Here is an 11,439-nt window from a genome sequence, read left to right on the forward strand (position 1 = left end):
AAGGCAGAAATTGTTTTTCTTCTATGTTGTTTTATATTTATGCATATGTTTGGATTGCAATTACGGGGCAAGTCGTAAGTACCCAGAAGCATGCCTTCCTGGATTGAATATAATATCCAAAGTCATTGGAAGCTCCATTCAATTGCTTAACTAACTCAGTCATTACCCAATTTTCTCCTTTGGTTTGATATCTCAGAGGCAACCTAGGAGAAAATTGCTTGAGTTCCCTGCACATTAATTTAGTAAAAATCAAATTTAACTCTTGTTTATAATTGTCTTCTTAAGATCCATGGACATGTAAAAATTCAGCATAACATCTGAATCTGTGGCATTCAAACGCACACTTCCTAATAAATGATGCCCCAGGAGACAGAATCAAATCAGAAAGAGATGCAGTGTTTATTGAAAATCTACGTTGGGTGAAAATGTGTTAATTTAATAATCCAATACATATTAAATGTAACACAATAGTTTATGTTTACATTATAAAATATTGAGCCGTAAAATATGGATTTTTCGATGTTAAAATGAATTTCTGTAATGAAAATCACTGGAATGTATTCATTTTTTAAATAAAAGCGTTCAGTATAATACACATCTACTAGGAAAAGCATATTTTTAAAATCAATAGGATCTTGAAATGGTGCTGTCTTTTTCCTCCTTTCAAGCTTCCAAAATTAGGACAAATATTTGCTGGGCATTATTTAATTCCAGGCTTGCCTCCCTGTGCCAAATGTCTCCTGCTTTGAATGATGCAATTTCCAGTATTGAGCTATGATTAGAAAATAAAAATTCCTTTTCATATTAACTTTTGGGGCAGAATAAACTAGTAAGATAAATCTGGTTTTAGAAAATGCAGAGTTCATTCCAAAATATATGTGTGGAGTTGAAGATACATATACATACGTGTGTATGTGTGTGCGTGTGTATATACACACATATATACATCTTCACAGATATATATACCATTTTATCTTATTTTACAAACATAATCATACACAGATACATACATTACATATATACATATGTACATACATGTATGTATATATATTTGTAATAAAATACATGTATGTATATATAAAATACATAATATACATACATATATGTATGTATATATTTGTAATATAAAATAAAATGATATACTTTTGTTGAAATTAACTATTTCTCTGTATAAATGATATATATATCATTTCTCTGAATATATAATAATATATCGTTTCTCTGAATAAATAAATGACATGTATATCATTTTATTTTACATTACATATATACATGTATGTACGTATATATATTTTAAGCTTTGTATATATATACAAAAATATATATACATATATACTTACATGTATATATATTTGTAATATAAATACATACATTATGTATATATGTAATACATTATATATACATATTTGTAGTATAAAATAAAATGATATATTTTTTCTTGAAATAAACTGTTTCTCTGTAATATAACACATTACAAATTATATCAATGTAGTGTCAGAATGAAATCTTTGAGCAGAATTATATTAAAGAAATTATATCTGCTGAATGAATAGAAACATCTAACACTATGGAAGGCTGGATTTCATTGAAAAGTCACCCGTCGGTTTTGCAGTTTCTTCATAGCTGCTTTCATCTCCTCATTTCTCAATGTGTAGATAATGGGGTTCAGGAGTGGAGTAAAAATGGTATAAAACACAGACAGCAGCTTGTCCACAGAGAACCTACTGAAAGGCCGCACATAAACAAAAATGCAAGGGCCAAAGAACAGCGTCACTACCATGATATGTGCAGAGCAAGTGGAGAGTGCTTTGGATGTGCTACCGGCAGCACGCTGTCTGATAGCGAGGAGGATCACGGTGTAGGAGATCAGGAGGAGCAGAAAACAGCTCAAGGAAAGCAACCCACTGTCTGAGATCATAATTATACCCAAGACATAGGTGTCCATGCAGGCAAGTTTGATCACCAGAGGGAGGTCACAGAAGAAGCTGTCTACCTCATTGGGGCCACAGTAAGGCAAATTTACAGTGAAAGCCACTTGACTGATGGAGTGCACAAATCCAACGACCCATGAAGCCAGCACCAGCCTGATGCAAGTCTGCCAACTCATCAAAGTCATGTAATGCAAGGGTTTGCATATGGCCACATATCTGTCATAGGCCATGGAAACCAGGAGCACCATCTCAGCCCCACCAGTAAAGTGCAAGAAGAAGATTTGAGCCATACATCCTCCAAAGGAGATGAGTTTTTGATCACTAAGGAAATCCCTGATCATCTTGGGAGTGGCAAATGAGGCCAGCCACATGTCCAGGAAAGCTAGGTTCCCCAGCAGGAAGTACATAGGGGAGGAGTGCAGGCAGGGATCAGAAATTACAGTGACCAAAATGAGAAGGTTACCCAGCATAATGGCCACATAGACCCCAAAGAAAAATATAAAGAAAAAATTTTGAAGATGTCGTGAAGTGCAGAGTCCATGCAACACAAATTCTGACACCAAGGAATAGTTCTGTGGGTCCATTGCCTCAGGTTTCAGACTTTGTTTGTAATCTAAATAAAGAAAAAAATCCTGTCATTTGCAGCAACACCTCAAGGACATTGTATTAAGTGAAATAAGCCAGGCACAGAAAGACAAATATCAAATGATGTCACTTAATATGTGGAATCTAAAAAAGTCAAACTTACAGAAATAGAAAGTAAAATGGTGGTTACCAGAGGCTGGGAAGGAGAAGGGTGAGGGATAAGTTCGTCAAAGAACAAAGTTTCAATTAGACAGAAGGAAAAAATTCAAGTGATCTATTGTACATCATTGCGATTATAGCTAATAGCAATATATTATACACTTGAAAATCACTAAGAGAGTAGGTTTTGCATTGTCATCACAGAAAATAAGTATGTGATTTAGCCATTCCACAATGTTTACATATATGAAAACATCATGTTGTACATTATAAACATATATAATTTTCATTTATCAATTAGAAAGAAAGAGAGAGGGAGGGGAAGGAAGAAAAGAAGTAAGTGAAAATGCCTGTCAACTGCCTGGCACATGAAAGTGATCAACTAAGTGTTATCTATGTATAATTTTTAACTTGCAAGTGATACTCTAAAATATAGACTGTTATATACTAACAAGCATGTATATTTGCCTTTTTCAAACTTCAGTGATTCCTGAGGGGCAGTTAGACATTCTGGAAGACTTCTGCATAGGTGAGAGTTGTAGGAACTTTTTTTTTCCTTCTTTCCATGGCCTTTGTCCATATAAAAACATGGATCAATCAAGTGCAGTAGGTGAACCAAAATTCCTTAGGAGGATTGAGAATATGAAGATTTTTTCAGGGATTCTATCTTCTCACCATCTCTGTCGATATCATTGCCCAATGGGTAATTAATTATTGTTAAGCACTAAATATTGAAATTAAAGCTTCACTTAAAAATAATGTCAACACGTAAGACATGGGAAACTGAATGTACATTATTAAGTGTCTCTTCCTCTTCCTCTCTCTCCATTTACACACACAAACACAAAACTAAACCTAGCAAAGGCATGTTGATAGGTAGATGTATCTATGTATATAAATATGATTAACGTGTCTTTCTCCTGAATCCAAGAGAAGGAAATTTTGTTCCTCAATGACAAAATTTAAAGGAGAAAAATTACTTTAAGCTAAAACGCATGTTTTGGATATAACGACTATGGGCGGGGGGTGATGTATAAATACAGATGAGCTCCCAAATCATGTACCCAACTTATGTATGTTGCTTAGTAATTTTATAAAAGTCTCATTTATTGTGTTATATGTGGGTTGTAGAATGGCTTTTCTGATATTCTCAGATAATATCTCTGAGGAAAATTTGATCTAAATAATGGCTCGTTTACATAAAGTTTTAATCTAAAGTGTTAATCTGTGCTATCAGGGAGGACAGCCTATAATTGCAAAACGTGGGACTCTTTCCTCTTTCTTGCCCTTCATCAATAACCTGGATATGTATAATTTGCAAGTTTACAGATAGCACAAATCTGACACGATTTACTTACAGACTTATAGAATATTTCAATATGCTGGAAATATGGGCCGTAATCAGCAAACTAGAGAGAAAAGGTGAAAGGAGGAAGAGAGAAGAGTGTAGACTGATAATCAGCCTAACAGAGACATAGAGTATTATATTATTAATATATTTCTTCATAATCACGCTTTTAATTTGTTGTAATTATAATTCATTTTTTCTTAAAAAATGAATAAAAATATTTATGGTAAAATGTGTTGTAATGCTTTTGATTAAATGAGCGAAAAAGTAGATCTTCTTCAAGGCATTTGCATCTTATTTTCCAGTTAAATTTCAACTCAAGAAATTGCTTCCTATAGAGCCATAATGTTGAGATTTCTTCCATATTTAATCTGCTTGGAATATTTCCTTTTTTTTCCCAACCACTTTATTAAGGTACAATTTATATAATATAAAATCATCTATTTAAAATATTTAGTCAATCATTTTTTAATTATTTTACCAACTTGGTTATCTCCATAATACTTCCTTTGGAATTTTGAAAATCTCAGTCCCTTCCAGGACCTCTCTTGGCAGTAGTCAGGCTATCTTCTTCCTTATTCATTTACTCACTTACACACTCACTCATTCAGACTGTATCTATAAGACACTAACACAGTTCTTCATCTCACTTTATTTGGTATAAAAACCAATCAATACAAGAAGAAATAAATCACTTAACCTAGGTTTTATTTAGTTTCTTCACCCCACAGATTTTTATTTTTGCTCTTATCATTTTTAAATTAATTGTATTTGGGATAAAAAGCCTATTTGATTAGATACATAAATCTATCTATAAATGAATTAGATCATTTATAGATTTATTATTTATAAACTTTCTCCGAGATGATTTAGAATGACTTTCTTTTAAAAATATTTTAAATTATTATGTGGAAGCTGAGCAAAATAAACTGATGGAGATAGTATAAAAATGGTTACTAGACAATGGGAAGGGTAGTGGGGAGAGTGGGAAAATAAAGGGAGGATGATTAATGAGTAAGAAAATGCAGTTAGGATGACTTTCACTGAAAAAGATATTTCCAAGACCTCTCAACAAAGACCAGAGCATAAAACCTATGCAATCATTTTTGAGGGTGTTTTCACCATTACACATGATTGACTAATAAGTTCATCACGTTATTTTAAAACGTAGCTCTGAGTTTTCAGATGAAATGGAACAGGATGCATAGGTCCCATAATTAGTTTTTTTTATGAGCAATAAACTGGAGTCTCACTCTCCTCACTGAGAGGAAAATATTGTATAAAGCTTTTAATAAGGGGTATCACATAGAATCCTTCATGAGAAATTACAAAAAAGATGCAGGACTCTCCTTCATTTAATGTTGTTCCTTTATAAAATTGAAGAATGTAACATAAAAGAAGAGTCTTGTAAGGCTTCTACAGGGAAATAAAGTAACTTATTCTAGTTGTGAAATAGTCTAATAATGAGAATTTGATATAGTAATAGATTTTTAGAATCTAAAGGGATTAATAATTACCATATCTTCTTTAGTCCACCCAAATAGCACCCATCTCAACCAGACTGTTGTCAAGATAATGAAAATTCAAAATTGCTTTGCTTCTCCTTGAATTTCTATAAAAACATTACATTAAATCATTTAATTGCAACACTTTTTTTGACAATTAGATGCTACCCATCTTTAGTCTGAAATTTTAAGTCTGAAGCCAAAATCCCCAACGGGTAGAAGGGACATAATCACAAAGCAATAATTCTTAGGAAGTTTAGTCAGATTCCTCTGACACCCATTCTAGCACATATATCACAGGTCATAGAGCTATACTTTTATTGATATTCTTTTCCTTTTTATGTCCCTGAAAAATTTCGCTTGTAAATCTAAAACATAATTGTATTTAATATACTTTTTAATAAAGATTAAGTGAACAGAAAGTTGAAATAATCAGATGGAAAACTCGGGAAACAAACATAAAGGAACTCAATTTGCTATTGAATCAAAGTTGTTCTACAGTTAGATACTGGTGATAGTTGTACAACTCTGTAAATACACTAAAAACCATTGAATTGAACATGTAAAATGAGTGAACTTTATGATATATAAATTATACCTCAACAATGTTTTTAAAATGGATATTAAAAGATGTTGTAATAAATAATCTCGATTAAAGTTCTAATTTCTGAGAACTCTTTATGATGTGTAAATCATCTAAAAGCAAATAAATACTAAGTTTGTAATCAGAAAAAAATGACATTGATTTTGTATACAAACCAATGGTGTTTTTAAATTAAAATATAAATCCAAATAATAATGAAAAAATTTAACTTCAACTTGCAAGTTATTATGATGTAATCCAACGATTTAATATATAAAATAATATAACAATTAGTCTGTATTTGACTTATATCTCATGCATGTTCATATTTATTACAAAAGTTCTTTACTAACCTGGAGTTAAGATGCTCAGTGCTGATACTGCAGCTCACCCAATTTATATTTTACATCTATTATACTTGAATGGAGCTATTGAAAACACATATTTTATCCCAGAGATGATTTAATCATCTTCTTCTGCATCTTAAAAACAATTCAGGAAAAGCATTATTTTAAAGTTAGAGAACTTCAGATTTGAGTCTTCCTTGGAGTTAAGTTATAAATATACCCTGTCACCCACCAATTAAGAATCCTTTAATTATGGGCCATTTGTGACCAATGACCATAACAAAGGCTTGGGAATAAATCATCTGAGGGTGGAAATTTGCAGTAATGAATCACGTTCATTTCTCCAGGTGACAAAAGAAAAATAATTATGGATCTGCCAGATTATATTAGCATAGCTGCATTTATTTTAGTAATTCAAGCAGAATTATATATACCATTATCCAGTTAATCAAGTATAAAATGACAAATTTATCTCTAAATAATCAAATTAACAAGTTACACTCTAAAATTATGCTGAAAATTTGCCAACTCTGCACATTATATAACTTTGATCAAGCATTACACTTTGAAAAAGATTTACTCATACAAGGAGCATCAGATTTATATGTGCCAAAATATTTGCCTTCTCTAGATTGGTACGGTCAGGCATGATGAAATCTCCAGGTGTGTGGGTTACTTTGTTCATCATTTATTATTGATAGCCTACTTACTTCCCCAAATCATTCAAGGTTAATGCAGGATTCTTCTACTAATGGGTCCACGCTGAAGACAAATATTCCAAAACATTCTGATAAATGGTCATCACATTTACAACTATTCACATGACATTTACTTCCATATTAGGTATATAAGTTCTACCAAATTTATGAGAAATTTGACTACCAAGGCAGCCTCTGAGTATAGTAAAAAGTCTCAAGTGGCACATTGGCATTAGATAATTGCGTTTCACTTAAAATGAGTTGCAAAATCTAAGTTCTGTTTCTGTCTTTTAAACACACAGATAATGATTACTAAAGAAAGTCTGCAGAAGCAGTCTATTAGCTTCAGTGTGATTTGTTTCTGAAATGCAGTCATTAGGTGGTACAGATATATTGTGTAAAATAAAGAATTATAGAGAAGTTTTTGACAACCAGATTAAGTGAATACTGGATTTGGAGGTAAGGAAAGATTTACTAAATGTGGTGGCTTTATTTATGATACAACATAGAGGGCATTTTTGGATAACATTAACATTTAAAATGGTGAGCCTTGAGTAAAGTGGACTGCTCTCCATAATGCGGGCGGAGCTCCTCCAGTAAGTTGAAGGCCTGCATAGAACAAAAGGACCAGCCTTTCAAAGCAAGGGAGAATTCCCCATCAGACCACCAGACTGCCTCAGACCTTCATCTGTGTCATCAGCTCTCCTGGGTCTCCAGCCGGCAGGCCTACACTGCAGATTTGGGAAAACTTTTTGATAGACACTTTGGAAACATAGACCAGGCCCATTAAAAAATGCTAGTAGATCTTGACCTAGTCATTTCTATGTTAAAATATGTCCATAATAACATTACAGATTAATAGATCAAGAATTATTAAGCAATTTACTGATTTATAGATCAAGAATTATTAAGCAATTTACTGATTTATAGATCAAGAATTATTAAGCAATTTAAATTTGCCAGAATAATTAAAATCAATTAAAGTATATCTGTGTGATAGAAGATAATAACACATGAAAAAGTGTGTTTTCAACAAACGAAGAAGGGTTCATGGTGTTTTGTTACGGCCAAAAAAAGAGGACAGCTAACTATACATACAGTATAAATCCTTAGGTTGCATCAATGAATAAAATAGGTAAGAATTACTTTCCTCTTGACACTTACAATCTAGCAGAAAACACAAACACATAAATACAAATAAATGACTCATCTATGATAAGCACTAAGGAAAAAAAGTAAGCAGAGTAAGGCATATTGAGAATGCCAGAAGAAGGATTGCTTCAATTGCCTACAGTGGCAAATTGTTTGGTAATGTGCTGTTTATTGGTTCTCTTCTTCCCTTGTCCCACTTCCTCACTCTACCAGAAAACTACCAGATTTTCTTAGGATCGCTTTTGCCCAGTAAAAGTATTTGCACTCCATTCCTGATCTCAGAGACTTCTGGATGAATACAAGGTAGGACAGTTAATACTAGACCTGCTTCTGTAGAACAGATTCTCAGAATGAGATTTTGAAATTAAATCGCTCACTAGCCCAATGCAACAGTCCCTCATTGTTGATGGTAGGTAAGATCATGAGAATCTCTGGCACACTGTATATCACAACTACTAGACTCTCACTTGTGATGATTTAAGTTGGGTTAGAGACCTAGATTTGATAGCAGGACAATGCTACTTTATAAAAATAAGGAGTTGGCTGGTTATTTCTAATTGGCATCGAAGTGCTTGCAGAAGAAAATAACAGGCTAAGGTCAGTCAACTATCAACTCAGGCCACAGTATAAAAATATAGAAGGCCCCATGACAGTACACAAAGTGATCTCTATTGTCTAGAGTCTAGGGGCAGCCAGTGCTGTAAATCAGGATGGATACTAATTGTGAGAATAGTGAAGTTACAAAGAAAGCTGAATTCACAACTCTGGAAACTCTTTTATGCTAAGGTCTAATAAGAAAAATGTTAGAATCTAATATCTGATATAAGAATATCTTCCTTTGAACATGTTGGGCCAGCAGAAGTGGCTTCCTCCTTCTTACTGGAAAGTAGCACGTTCACTTTCCCTGGAAAAAAGTCAAAGGCTCTAACTAAGGTGTATGTGCTGCAAAATAATACACCTTCATCTTAAGATCAGTCCCACCTACCTTCACTGCTTCCAGGTAAATAACTAGAGTATAGGTACATAATGTGAGACTGGGGAAATACTAACCCTACTCTCAGATAAAAGAGAAATAACCAACAGGACTTCATGAACTGACTAATATGCACTGGAAGAATGAATGAATGTTGAAGTTTGGAACAATGTGTGGGGGCAGAGTGTGGGATAGATAAGGGAGAATTTATTGACATGGAAGTACTTTTCTATAAGTCAGGATTTTATACCTTTGAAACTTGGACAGAATGATGATCCATTCTATCCAAGGTAGAAATGCTGGAACTGCCTTGGCATATCTTAAATGAAAGGCTCAAAAGTCTAAGTAAGCTTGGCAAAATCAAATGGATTTAGCTTATAATACTAGTGCACCGACCGACTGACAAGGTTACAAGGGAAGGTCTAGAGGGTCTTTCACTAAAGCTTAAAGCATGGACTCCCTACTGTCAGTCACAACAGTAGGAGCCTGGAATTTAAGAGGATGGGTAGCAGTCATTAGCCATCAGAGGCAACTATAGTAATTTTGACAGTGTGCAACAAGTATGTAACAAAAAGCTTAGATCTTAACCCGCAGGTGTCTGTTATGATAACTAGATGGAGCAAGAGCTGTAGGCACCCAACAGAATTATTTCTTGACTCACATCACCCAAGGAGGAAAAAGGAAATCAAGAAGTGGTAAGCAAAATATTGGTAAAAGCCACCATAATGGAATAAAAACAATCTATTACCCAGTTTCTAAAAACGAGTGAGTAATCAGATCTAGCATCGATCAATTCAAGAAGAGGCCAGGTCCACTTGAAGAAGAGCTCCACGCTACAGTAAATGTATACAAAAACAATTCCCCCAATCATTCTTCAGAATTATGCCCATTTACTAGAGTAACTGAACAGCAGATAAAGGGAAATATTCAGATATTTGAGGTCTAGAGTCTGAGACAGTACTCATATCTGGGAAACAAAAATCCCATTATGGTCCCTGTTAGAGTAAATCATACAGATACTAGGTGATGAATGAAGTCTGCTCCAGTGGGTCTATTTGTGTAATTTCCCTGGCTCCTGATGCATAATTAGAATGGATATACTAAGTAGCTGATAGAATTTTCACATTGGTTCCTTGGCCTATAGAATATGAGCATTAAAATAGAAAACACTAAGCAGAAGTCTCTGAAACTGCAACACCTACAACCATAAGACTAATTAGAAGTAATATGACATCCCTGATAGAAGGACAGATTATTGCCATTTTAGAAAGCTTTAGTTTACCAGTCTGATATTGCAAAAAGGAAAGCAAACAACCAAGCAACAAAGAAGAAAAAACAGAGGTGAGAGGAAGGGGAGAATGAAGGAAGGAAAGAAAAGAAAATTTTTTAAAAAATATGTCAAAAAATGGAGTAAGGTAAATATAACCAGTTGGTAGTTCCAAATGCAACGATTGTGCTGAATATAGTATATTTACTAGAATTCACTGATACAGGCTCTAGTAATTGTGTAGCCATTAATCTGACAAATGTGTTCTCAATTCTTATCAGGGAAAACAGTCATAAGTAATTTTAACTCACTTTGAAATGACAGCACTATACATGCATGATCTTATCCCAGTAGAATGTTAATTCTCCTGTCATAATACTGTCGGAAGAGATTTTGACCATCTGGACATCTCGCCAAATGCCAAACTTTTCTACTGTATTGATGACTTATTAATGGTAATAGTGGGGAGTAGTAACTAGACGTTACTACTGATTAGTAGTCACTAATGTTTCCTGATAAGACACCTGCATCCAGGGGAGATATTAATGTGTCTCCCACATTAATGGCATTTTTAGGCATCCAGTTGTCTGAGTACTCCAAAACATAGCCTTGGGAATTCTCCTCCAACCAGTTTATCAGGTAACACAGAAGGTTGCCTTTTTTTTTTTCAAACAACTGTATTGAGATATATTTAACCTATCACAAAATCATCCATTTCAAGTAAACAACTCAATGATTATTAGTAACTGTACTGAGTGATGCCACTACCACCAAACCTCAGTTTTAGAATATTTTCATCTCCCAAGTAAGATCCTTCAAGCTCATAATAGTTAATGCCTACTCTCTATCTGGCTCAAAACAACCACTAGTTTACTTTCTGTCTCTATAAAT

General features: G+C 33.7%; 1 protein-coding gene across 1 annotated transcript; it reads right to left on the reverse strand.

Moving 5' to 3' along the window:
* Positions 1 to 1,464: 1,464 nt before the first annotated feature.
* On the reverse strand, positions 1,465 to 6,629 carry OR4K14 (olfactory receptor family 4 subfamily K member 14). The gene is made up of 2 exons (NM_001004712.2): positions 6,465 to 6,629; positions 1,465 to 2,544 (listed from the first exon to the last, which is right to left on the reverse strand). The coding sequence occupies exon 2, from the start codon at positions 2,513 to 2,515 to the stop codon at positions 1,583 to 1,585; it is 933 nt and encodes a 310-aa protein (NP_001004712.1). The 5' UTR covers positions 2,516 to 2,544; positions 6,465 to 6,629; the 3' UTR covers positions 1,465 to 1,582.
* Positions 6,630 to 11,439: the final 4,810 nt, after the last annotated feature.

Source organism: Homo sapiens, chromosome 14 (assembly GCF_000001405.40).
Source record: "Homo sapiens chromosome 14, GRCh38.p14 Primary Assembly".
Lineage (NCBI taxonomy): Eukaryota > Metazoa > Chordata > Mammalia > Primates > Hominidae > Homo > Homo sapiens.

Bases quoted from the DNA above. Each gene is read 5' to 3' on its own strand.
- OR4K14 (NM_001004712.2), bottom strand. From the start codon at position 2,515: ATGGACCCACAGAACTATTCCTTGGTGTCAGAATTTGTGTTGCATGGA.